General features: G+C 45.0%; 1 protein-coding gene across 1 annotated transcript in view, besides 1 other annotated feature; it reads left to right on the top strand.

The window, feature by feature from the left end:
• The window catches only part of GRID1 (glutamate ionotropic receptor delta type subunit 1), a 767,244-nt gene that overhangs the window by 260,766 nt on the left and 493,864 nt on the right, over nt 1–12,614 (top strand). The gene's annotated exons all lie outside the window — the stretch shown is intronic.
• Nucleotides 986–1,486: an enhancer, noted in NCBI's record as "H3K4me1 hESC enhancer chr10:87864301-87864801 (GRCh37/hg19 assembly coordinates)". NCBI's record gives its function as "activates a minimal SCP1, AML or CMV promoter by ChIP-STARR-seq in primed H9 embryonic stem cells {active_cell/tissue: H9 hESC(primed)}" and the evidence as "EXISTENCE:reporter gene assay evidence [ECO:0000049][PMID:30033119]".

Below are 12,614 nucleotides of genomic sequence, written 5' to 3'. Positions count from 1 at the left end.
GGATATCATCATCCTCCTTTGCAATTGGGAACACTGGCCTTTCCAACATCTTCTCTCACAAGGCTTCCTCTCCCTGAAGCAGCCCCCATCCTCTTGTCCCCCTTGCATACCATGCTAACTCTACCATCATTTTCCTCTCCCCATCGCGGCTCCTCAGGGCAGCATTCCTGGGTGACCTGTGGTGCCCAGGCCAGTTAGACACATGCACAGTGCCCGTGCTTTTCCCTCAGGGTGCAGACTTCACTCTGCAATGATCTGTCTGTCACAGGCTTATTTGACTGATGTCAATCTCTCCCCTAGATTCCAACCTTTGCTGGAGAGGGGGGATGGCATCTTTCTCTCCACAGTGCCGGCTCTGGTGCTTGGCACACAGAAGAGGCTTCAGTGCTTGCTGAATGGGGAATGAAGGCTCCGTGTGCCCCGGACACTGCTGGGGAGGGGCAGCTGGCCCCTAGGGCTCTGCTTTCATTGAAGAGCGTGTTCCCCACCCAATCTAGATGTGTGCCTCAGAAGGCTAGGACTCAAGTGTGGGAATTGTGTGAGAGCCACAGGAGGCAAGAACAGCCAGTGCTGTGTGTTCTGAAGAGATAGCGTGGTGCAGAATCAAACAGGGCATCTGTAACAGACAGACCATGCTTCTGACCGGCTCTGTGCTCCACAACTGTGAGACCTTGGCCAGAGCGCTACACCCTCTGGGCCTCAGTTTCCTGGTCTCTGTGGTGGGCACACTCCAGGCCTTAATGGACAGGCATAACCTTGCCCACCCTCACTGTCTTCTTGGGCAGACTGAAGCTATCCCAGTGCCTATTTCATGCAGCTCTTTCCTCAGGTATTTGGGGTAACAGTTCTTGAGAAAACATGGCTCGTTAAATTGAAAAGTGCTTCTCCAACTTCCTGGGAAAGAGGATGGCACTAACCCTGTCCAGATCTTCAGAGCCACCGTAAATCACTTCCTTAAAAATCCCAAACTTGTGTGTAATTATGTGACTATGTAATGAAGTCAGAAGTGGGTAGGATTGATTTGTCAGGTGAATTAATCTCCACAGCAAGTGGAGGCACATGGGGGCACGAGGCCTGTCACAGCCTTGTCACCTGCTGCAGGCTTCACTGGCTTCCTGCTCTCAATGCTGTACCTTTTGCCCCCCTGTCCGCTGTCGCACACCCTAGGCACTTCATCGGCCATGCATGAAGGTCCAGTGCACTGTCTCAGGCCGGGTCCTGGGAATAAGATACCAGGCTGAATTCAGCTGGACCTGACCATGGTGCATGCTAGGGTGTGGGTTTGTGTCCAACATTGAAGGGACAGAGGCAGAGCCCTGTGGTCCTGAGGGCCTGGAGGGTGGGGCAGCTGGGCCAGGCCCTATGGAACAAGGCAGGAATGACTCTGGGCATTCAGTCTGCCGAGGATTGCCCCTGATGTATGGCATGGAAATGTTCTCTGGCCGCAGAGGAGCTGGTGCTCCCTTTGTGTCATGCTGCCTGTCTGCTGCCAGCTAGGGCTGGGGGCCTTGTGAAGCACTGAGCATGGTGGGCATGCACCTGTCTGGGCCATCCTTGCAGCAGGGACCTTTACCCTGGGAGGGAATCCTATGCCCTGGCTAAGCAAGTGGGTGTGAGTTGTGCCCCTCGTGGGTTGGAGGAAACAGGTGTGGGATGCCTGTGCCGGGCCTTCTCGTGGGTGTCTGGCCACCCCTGCACCTGCTGAGGCCTGGCTTCCAGAGTTGGAGGGAACTTCACAGAGCAGGCGTGGTTGGGTCTGGGGTCCCAACTGCACCCTGAGCTCTGAGCTGGGCTGGCCAGCAGCTTTGCAAGAGGAACTAGCCCCTTCTACCTGCCAGGTTTGGATTTGAACCCTGGTCCGTATGTCTCCAAGCCTGTTCTTGTTAAAGAACAGGGTGGGCAGAGAGTGGAGTGGTGCCTACCCCGTGGGATAAGGCACCTACCTCTCTGCCAGACTGGAACAAGTATGCACATGTGCACCCTTACACATGTGTGTAGCTGAAGAGAGTCTGAAGGCCACATCAGAGAGCCATGCTTATGAGGGAAGTGCGGCAGGGGGAGCTGTCCTCCTGAGGCCAGGAGGAACAGTTGTGATGAATGAGATTGGGAGGCAACACCATGAGGGCTGTGCCCAGCATCTGTCACTGGATGACTGATTGATTGCCCCATGTGCAGGGTTCAGCCCAACAGTGGTTAGTAATGATTCTCTCTCTCTCTCGTGACATGGTTGGGCCAGGGGAGGTGGGCAGTGTCCCAGGGTGGCCTTACCCTCTGTCCTTGCTACCCTTGAGGTACAAGGCACACACCTTTCCTAAGGGCCCCCCACTGTGGCAAACGTTTAAGAGCCATGGCTGGAGCAGAACGTGAGATGCTGTGGAATGAAGGGGAGCCTGTTCCTGTCCCCTAAGAAGGCATTACATAAGCAGCATCGGGAGTCCTCTTCCTCCGGGGCCTGTCTGCAGTTTCACTGCTTGTCCACATGGGCTCCAGCTCCCATGGCTGACGCTTGCTTGGGGGAGCCTAGGCCTGTGGCCTGGGGGTGCAGTTGAGCCTCCTTACATGGCATAATGTGAATCTAGCCCTGGGCACTAAGCTGAGGCTGAGAGGGTGGCAGGGAACTGCGGGCCTCATCACAGGCTCACAGGGAATGACTGAGGGCCTCAGAATTCCCCACCTGGGCCCTATAGGGAATTGATGGCCAGCTCTGGTCTCTGGCCCCAGGAGGTCAGCCTCAGGTGGCAGAGTGGCAGCCGACTCTGGTGCTGTCCTCTATCCTGGCTCCACCTCTGTTGCACACAGGGGCTTAGTGGGCTGACCAGTGAGGGGTGTGGTCATAGCTGCCAGCCCCTTCTGCTTGCCCATGCTGACTTTGTCCTCTTGCTTTCCTGCTGTATTAGCCCATTTCATACTGCTATGAAGAAATACCTGAGACTGGGTAATTTATAAAGAAAAAGAGGTTAAATGGATTCACAGTTCCACATGGCTAGGGAGGCCTCACAATCATGGCAGAAGGTGAAGGAGCAGCAAAGGCATGTCTTACATGGCAGCAGGCAACAGAACGTCTGCAGGGGAATTGTTCTTTTATAAAACTGTCAGTTCTCATGAGACTTATTCACTATCACAAGAACAACTTGGGAAAAACCTGCCCTCATGATTCAATTACCTCCCACTGGGTGCCTCCCATGACATGTGGGGAATATGGGCACTACAATTCAAGATGAGATGTGGGTGGAGACACAGCCAAACCATATCACCTGCCCTTCCATAGGCCTCGCAGTCTGGTTTTGAACAGAAAAAGAGGTTTAATAGATTCACGGTTCCACATGGCTGGGGAGGCCTGGCTCCCGTCCCCTGGGCCTCTTGGCACTGCTCCCAGGTAGGGCCTTTCCAGGACTGGGCACATTTATGTTGTGGGGATCAGGCCTGCATTCCTCCTTAGAGGAAGAATGATTATTCTCTGTTTAACATAAAGCAAATGGTGTGGCAGCGCCGGGCAGGGCTCTGGAACACCAGCCCCAGTTTTCCCTGTCAATGAGTGGGCATGGGGTAATGCCTTGTCCACACTAAGCCATCTCTGTGAAATGGGCCTGTGACCCTTTCTTCAGCTGCCCAGGCCCAACATCTTGATGCTGTCTTTGCTGCTTCTTCCTCATGCCCCTCATAATTAGTCCATTAGCAGTTCTGACACCATGTGTCTGGATTCTGATTACTTCTCACCACCCCAATGGCTATGTCCCTGGTCTAAGCCATTGCTGGCATCAGCCTCCTGACCTGCCTTCCTGCTTCTCACCTTGCTCCATGCAGCTTGTCATTCTGAGGCAGCCAGAGTGGCCTGTTAAAATTCTAGCTGATCATGTCATTACCCTGCTCAGAGTCTTCCTGTCTCACTGGGGTTATAGCTGGAGTCCCTGTGTGGACAAAGCAGGGCGAACACACTTCCTGGTCTATGAGGGATGGTCCCCACTTATGCCTTTTGTTCCAGAAGAAATATTCGTTCTCAGAATCATCCTGGTTTGCTCTTTGTGAATGCTTATAGCGGCTTTGTTGTAATAACCGCAAACTGGAAACCATCCCAATGTCCTTCAGCTGGTGAATGGATAACAAACTGTGGTACAGCCATACAATGGAATATTATTCAGCATTAAAAAGGGAGTTTGAGACCAGCCTGAGCCCCATAATGAGACTCTGTCTCTACAAAAAAATAAATAAATAAAATAAAATTAGCCAAGCCAGGCATAGTGCATGCCATGTAGTCCCAGCCACTCAGAAGGCTTAGGTGGGAGGATCTCTTGAGCCAAGGAGATTGAGGCTGCAGTGAGCTATGATTGCACCACACTGCACTCTAGCCTGGGTAACAGAGCAGAGTGAGACTCTGTCTCAAAAAAAAAAAAAAAAAGGAATAATGAAAAACAAACCAGGAACAAACTCCTGTTACATACAGCAACATGAGATAATTCTCAAAAGCATATGCTGAGTGACAGAAGCTGCACTCAAGAGGCCTCATACTCCATAATTTCAATTATGTGATGTTCCTGATTGGCAAAACTATAGGGGCAGAAAACTCATTGGTGTTTTCCAGGCCTAGGGATAGGAGGATTCACTACAAAGAGCCATAAGGAATTGCTGTGGGCAATGGAGCTGTTCCGTATCTTGATTATGGTGTTGGTTACATTACTGTCTAAGTTTATAAAACTCATAAGATTATACATTCAAAATAATGCATTTTGCTATGTAAATTACACTTTGATTTAAAAAACAAGTCCTAGTTAGGGTGATAAATTATACGGTCATTCAACCTCTAACATCTTACCTGATTCATCCTCTCTTTGATGTCACCTCCTGCTGCTCCTCTCCTGGATCTGTTATTCCAGCCACCCAGGCTACCTTGCTGTCCCATGAATATGCCAGGTGGACCCCTGCATATGGATCTCTATACTTGTTTTCCTCTCTGCTTGGAAAAATCGACTTCCAGATAGTCACGAGCCCCTTCTCTCTCACTTCCTTAAAGTCTTTACCCAAAAGTCCCCCTATCAGTCACCAGTGACCATTTAATGGTGCATAACAAACAGCCTCAAGTCTCACTGGAATCCAGCATCTCATGCACCCTACAGGTTGGTGGAGGTGCCTCATCCAGGCTGGGCTTGGTGGGCTCTGCTTCCAGCTGTGGGTCTGTTTGCCAGCATCTCGGCAAGGCCAAGATTGGAAGAGCAGCAGCTACCCAAGAGACACTCTCTTTTGGCCATGGCACAAGCACAAGAAGACACGTCCTGCGTGTGCACATTTCAAGCTTTTGCTTGTGCTATGCCAGTTAACATCCCATTGGCTACAGCAAGTCAAGCTGTGCAGTATACGCCACCTACAGGGAGGGGAGTGAATATTACCAATAATCCAAACAGTCCCCATCACCTTCCCAATGAGGGCTTCTCTGACCAACCTGTGAAAACTTTAGCCCCCAGCTTGCCATTTTCTCTCCCTCCTCTCTGCTTTATTGCTTTCCTAACACTCCTGACTGTATAACTTATTATACATTTCATTGATTAATCTTGTTTAGTTTCTGTCTTCCACTCACTGGAGTGTAAGTTTCACCAGAGCACAAGGACATTTATTTGTTTTTTTTTTAATCCTATATCTCCAGCACCTAAGAAAAATGCTCAGTAGATATTTGACTAAATGATTGAATAGGGTTATGCTAAGAATTTATTGAGATGATATATGAGACATGTTTCAAATACAGTCCTGCACACAAGAAGTGCTCGGTAATTGGAGGCTCTTATATTCTACAGCCTGCATGCTGTTGGGAGAGTCAAGGCTCAGTTATGTGTGTGATTACAATACTTTGCACAATAAGCCTTTGAAGCCAGATCTGCTTTAAGTTTGGCTTCAGAGATAAGGCGCTGAGGCATGGAGAGGCTGTTATTTGCCCAGAGTCACTTGGTGAGTCAGGGTCTCTTTGCCCTGAAGCTCATGCACTTCTCCCCATGCTATGCTGCCCCCACACCTTCCTGCATGCTAGTTACCAGGCTCTGGCCTCCTTCCCTGCACCAGCATCCCTGAGGAGTCAAAATAACTGATGATATTAGAGCCCCAGCCCCATGAGGGTGCTGAAGTTGGCCCCAGATACCCCTCCCAGTTATCTGGAAGCCAGTTGCAATGCAGGGCCTCTGGAACACTGAGGGCTGTCCTGTGCCACCCCCAGCCACCAGTGGCCCCTGTGCATGGAGACCCCAGAGAAGCTGCTGTCTGCAGACTCTGAAGCAGTCGGACCCTGAGGATGGACAGATGGCTGGGCCTCTGGTCTAAGGAGATCACAGACACACATGCTCAGGAAAAGCATAGGCCCCTTCTGCCAGGGGAGAGTCACAGAGGGAGGGCTTGATGGATGGGATGTGGGGAAATTTATGAGAGTCATTTCATTTGGTCTGTGACCCTTTATGGATGACATTGGGTTGGAGGAGCCAGACTGTGCTCCAATGTGAAACTTCAGAAAGATGAATTTGACCTTGAGTGGCAGATTCTGCCCTGGTGAAGGGACAAGGGGCCTGGGTCGTGGCTTCTCGGTGCCTTGTACACACATCTGTGAGGGCCCTGCCATGATGATTTTCTTGTAGTGGTGTGTTCGTCTGTTTTCTCTGCCAGACTCTGAACTACTGGTCTCTGTATTTCCAGTGCTCATCAGGATGCTTGGCCCCAACAGCATCTGCATGTGTTTGTGAAATGAAGGATTTATAGAGCAGTCACCATGGGCAGGGTGCTCAGCACCCCTCATCTATGATTCATTTGACTCTTACCTGCCCCAGGAGGAAATTGCTGTTATCCCTGGGGATGGCAGAGCTGGGTTATAGATGTGGACTCAGAACCACTGTGCTACCTTGTCCCCTGAAATTGAAAGAAGTTCTGGTACCAACACTGGTGGTTAGTGGTTATGTGACCCTGGAAAAGCCAGTGTAATCACTTTGGACCTTTGCTTTCTGCTCTGTAAAATGGGGATTACGAATCCCATTAGTCTTACAAAGAAGAGGGTTGTGAAAATCAAACCAGAGTGTGCTTGTGTTGAGTGCTCTTTAGGTCTGAAATTTTATTACTAATATTATTTCAAGTGGGCATCAATGGCAGTCAATAAATAGGGGAGTTGTAGCAGAAGTGTGACAAAAGAGAGGGCTTAGAGAAGCTTAAGTATGACACTGATCATTTCCAGTAGGTAAACGTGCAAAGAACATGATCAAACAAATCACAAGAGGAAATGCAGCTTGTTAGCAAACATATGGAAAACCACTAAAACTTCAGTTGTAATCAAAACAATGCAAATTAAAACAGGATGCCGTTTTTCACCACTCAGTTAAAGAACATGCAGTGCTGGGGAGACTTTGGTAAAATGAACACTTGCCCGTAACCTGGTGGAGATGTTCTGGAAGGTAAATTAGTAATGAGTATCTGGAACTATAAAAATGTTTGTACCTTTTGACCCAGTAATTCAATTTCTAGGAGTCTCTCCAGAGGGATTATTCTAAGGAAGCTTTCTGCATGAAGTTGTTCAAAACAGCTGAATAAAAAATGGGTGATAATCTAAGGAGCCAATGTTAGGGGTGTGGTTAAGGCAATGACAGTATCCAAGTTATAGAGGATCCTGCAGGGACCGATGAGTGCTTGCCAAATCGCATCAGATGACTGTGTAGGCTCTAAGGGAAAAGCAAGACACAAGAATGCACATATTTTATTACAACTATGTAAGATTCTGTAGGGATCTTTGCATAAAGCCAAATATGGAAAGAGGTAAAACAGAAAATGTTAACAATGGTTGTGTGATGGTGGGATGAATATGAGTGATTTAAGATCATCCTTTTAATAGTAAGCATGTACTCCTTTCATATCAGAACCATAATATGGTAACTACATTGACTTGAGGATATAAAAGGAGGCCAGATGCCACTGGAACAGAGGTGCCATGGTTAGCAAAACTGAGTCAAAGAACTACTTATCTTGTGTGGTATTTTTATCTAAAATCCACTTTGTGGAAAACAAAGGGATGATTTCTGAAGATAAGCCATGCTGGAAAATAACCACTCGATTGTATTTTCTTCATGTCTGGAATTTTTTTTTGTTTCACATTTGGTTATTTATTACTGTCTCTTTTTCTCAAGAAGTGATTGGAATGCTTTTCTTCTGTTGAAAAACAAGAGAAAGTTATATTAACTTCAGCCATGATAGATTCACATGCAGTTGAAAGTGGACTTGGCTTTGTCTCACCCTCTTCAGAGATAACCACTGTCAAGAGTTCAATATGTATCTGTCCACCTTTTCCCACATACATGGTGTCATATAGTTATTATTTATTCTTTTTTTAAAACAAAGATTGTGTTATAGTATGCATTTTTTTTTCATTTAGCTATATATCCTGGGCATTTTTCTATTTGAGTTTGTATTAAAGTTCTCCAGATAAAGAGAACCAATAGGATACAGATAGATAGATTATAGATAGATAGATGATAGATAGACAGACAGATAGCTAGATAGATAGGTAGACAGATAGATGGATAGACAGATGGATAGATAGGTGGTAGATAGATAGACGGTAGACAGATGATAGATAGATGAGAGGGGATAAAAGTGTTCCTTTTACCAGTCTCCCCAGCACTGCATGTTCTTTAACTGAGTGGTGAAAAATGGCATCCTCTTTTAATTTGCATTGCTTTGATTACAACTGAAGTTTTAGCAGTTTTCGATATATTTGTTAATCCCCTAATAAATCCTCTCTCATCTATCTATCATCTATTATATATCTATCGTCTGGGATTGGCTCACATGATTATGGAGGCTGAGAAGTCCCATGACAGGCTGTCTTTGAGCCAGAGACATTGGGATGCTGGTAGTGTGGCTCAGTCCAAGTCTGAAGGTCTTAGGACCAGTGAAGTGGATGGTGTCACTCACACTTTAAGGCCAAAGGCCTGAAGACCAGGGGGCCACTGGGGTAAGTACTGGAGTCCAAAGGCTGGGAAGCCTGGAGTTGTTGCCCAAGGACAGTCCCTTTGAAACTAAGACCTCTAGGCCAGCAGAGCATAAAGTTGCAGTAACAGGAAGCAAAAATTTTGCTAGTGGGTCACTTGGGGTAATGGTAAGTGGTGCCACTCCCATTTCCATCCCTTGATTCCTGGACCCGTGAATCCTGGCTACGGAAGAAACAGTACCACATACTGGGTGCTGATTTAGAGCATATACAGCCTTCTGGAGAATGTTGTCCCAGCTCTGCAAGGTACTGTCACCTAGCTGGTGGTGTAACTAAGTATTTAGAAGGCTATCCCATCATTCTGTCAAGCTGGCTGCTTCAAGATGATGGGTAACATGGTAAGACCAGTGAATTCCATTAGCATGAGCCCACTGCCACACTTCTTTGGCTGTGAAATGAGTTTCCTGGTCAGTAGCAATGCTGTGTGGAATACTGTGACAGAGGATAAGTCCACGGATGGTAGCTTTTGCAGAAGCATTGTGTGCAGGCATAGCAAATCCGTATCTGGACTAAGTGGCTATTCCAGTAAGGGCAAAATGCTGCCACTTCTCTGATGGAAGTGGTCCAGTATAATTAACTGGTTGAGCAAGATTGTGCCTTTAATGGAGATAAAACTATGGAAACATTTGTGGGGCTGGAACAGTCTGTGGTTGTGGGCAACTCCTTCAGCCATTATTTCTTTTTTTTCCATAAGTTATTGGGGTACAGGTGTTATTTGGTTACATGAATAAGTTCTTTCGTGGTGATTTGTGAGATTTTGGTGCACCCATCATCCATGTATACACTGCACCATATTTGTAGTCTTTTATCCCTTGCCCCCTCTCACTCTTCCCCCCAAGTCCCCAAGGTCCATTGTATCATTCTTGTGGCTTTGTGTCCTCATAGCTTAGCTCCCACATATCAGTGAGAACATATGACATTTGGTTTTCCATTTCTGAATTACATCACTTAGAATAATAGTCTCCAGTCTCATCCAGGTCACTGCAAATGTTGTTAATTCATTCCTTTTTATGGCTGCATATATATACTACAGTTTCTTTATCCACTCATTGATTGATTGGCATTTGGGTTGGTTCCATGATTTTGCAATTGTGAATTGTGCTGCTATAAACATGTGTGTGCAAGTATCTTTTTCGAGTAATGACTTCTTTTCTTCTGTGTAGAAATCCAGTAGTTCGATTGCTGGATCAAATGGTAGTTCTACTTTTAGTTCTTTAAGGAATCTCCACACTGTTTTCCATAGTGGCTGTACTAGTTTACATTCCCACCAGCAGTGTGGAAGTGTTCCCTGTTCACCACATCTGCGCCAACATCTACTTTTAAAAAAATTTTTTTTTATTATGACCATTCTTGCAGGAGTAAGGTGGTATTGCATTGTGGTTTTGATTTGCATTTCCTTGATCATTAGTGATGTTGAGCATTTTTTTGATATGTTTGTTGGCCATTTGTATGTCTTCTTTTGAGAATTGCTTATTCATGTCTTTAGCCCACTTTTTGATGGGATTGTTCATTTTTTTTTCTTACTGATTTGTTTGAGTTTGTTGTAGATTCTGGATATTAGTCCTTTGTCAGATGTATAGATTGTGAAGATTTTCTCCCACTCTGTGGGTTGTCTGTTTATGCTGCTGACTGTTCCTTTTTCCATGCAAAAGCTCTTTAGTTCAATTAGTTCCCAGCTTTTTATCTTTGTTTTTATTGCATTTGCTTTTTTATTCTTGGTCACGAAATCCTTGCCTAAGCCAATGTCTGGAAGAGTTTTTCCAATGTTATCTTGTAGAATTTTTATAGTTTCAGGTCTTAGGTTTAAGTCCTTAATCCATCTTGAGTTGATTTTTGTATAAGGTGATAGATGAGGATTCAGTTTCACTCTCCTCCTGTGACTAGCCAATTATCCCAGCACCAATTGTTGAAAATGAATTAGGGAGGTTTTCTTTCCCCACTTTATTTTTTTGTTTGCTTTGTCAAAGATCAGTTGGCTGTGAGTATTTGGGTTTATTTCTGGTTTCTCTATTCTGTTCCATTGGTCTATGTGCCTATTTTTATATCAGTACCATTCTGTTTTGGTGGCTATGGCCTTACAGTATAGTTTGAAATCAGGTAATGTGATGCCTCCAGATTTGTTCCTTTTGCTTAGTCTTGCTTTGGCTATGTGGACTCTTTTTTGGTTCCACATGAATTTTAGAATTTTTTTTTTTTTTCTAATTCTGTGAAGAACGATGGCGGTATTCTGATGGGGATTGCGTTGAATTTGTAGATAGCTTTTGGCAGTATGGTCATTTTCACAATATTGATTCTACCCATCCATGAGCATGGGATGTTTTTCCATTTGTTTGTGTCGTCTGTGATTTCTTTCGGCAGTGTTTTCCTTGTAGAGGTCTTTGACTCCTTTGTTAGGTATATTCCTCAGTATTTTATTTATTTTTTGCAGCTATTGGAAAAGGGGTTGAGTTCTTGATTTGATTCACTGATTGGTTGCTGTTGGTGTATAGAAGAGCTATTGATTTGTGCACATTAGTCTTGTATCTGGAAACTTTGCTCAATTCTTTTATCAGTTCTAGGAGCTTTCTGGAGGAGTCCTTAGGGTTTTCAAGGTAAATGATCATATTGTCAGCAAACAGTGACAGTTTGACTTCCTCTTGACCGATTTGGATGCCCTTTATTTCTTTCTCTTGTCTGATTGCTCTGGCTAGGACTTCCAGTACTACGTTGAAAAGGAGTGGTGAGAGTGGACATCCTTGTCTTGTTCCAGTTCTCAGAGGGAATGCTTTCAACTTTTCCCCATTCAGTATTATGTTGGCTGTGGGTTTGTCATAGATGGCTTTTATTACATTAAGGTATGTCCCTTGTATGCTGATTTTGCTGAGAGTTTCAATCATAAAGCGATGCTGGATTTTTGTTAAATGCTTTTTCTGCACCTATTGAGATGATTGTGTGATTTTTATATTTAATTCTGTTTATGTTGTCCATCACATTTATTGACTTGCATATGTTAAACCATCCCTGCATCCCATTTATGAAACCCACTTGATCATGGTGGATTATCTTTTTGATATGTTGTAGGATTTGGTTAGCTAGTATTTTGTTAAGATTTTAGCATCTATGTTCATCAAGGATATCGGTCTGTAGTTTTCTTTTTTGGTTACGTCCTTTCCTGGTTTTGGTATTAGAGTGATGCTGGCTTCAAAGAATGAATTAGGGAGGGTTCCTTCTTTGTCTTTCTTGTGGAATAGTGTCAGAAGGATTGATGCCAATAATTCTTTGATTTCTGGTAGAATTCTGCTGTGAATCCGTCTGGTCCTGGACTTTTTTTTGTTGGTAATTTTTACCATTTCAATCCCACTGCTTGTTGTTGATCTGTTCAGGGTATCTAATTCTTCCTGGTTTAAGCTAAGATGGTTGTATTTTTCCAGGAATTTATCCATCTCTTTTAGGTTTTCTAGTTTATGTGCATAAAGGTGTTCATAGTAGCCTTGAATGATCTTTTGTATTTCAGTGGTATCAGTTGTAATATCTACTGTTTTGTTTCTTAGTGAGGTTATTTAGATTTTCTCTCTTCTTGGTTAATCTTGCTAATGGTCTATTAATTTTATTTATCTTTTCAAAGAACCAGCTT

Source organism: Homo sapiens, chromosome 10 (genome assembly GCF_000001405.40).
Source record: "Homo sapiens chromosome 10, GRCh38.p14 Primary Assembly".
NCBI classification, from domain to species: Eukaryota; Metazoa; Chordata; class Mammalia; order Primates; family Hominidae; genus Homo; species Homo sapiens.
Note: the sequence above shows the minus strand (reverse complement) of the source record. Positions and strands in the feature narration are given on the sequence as shown.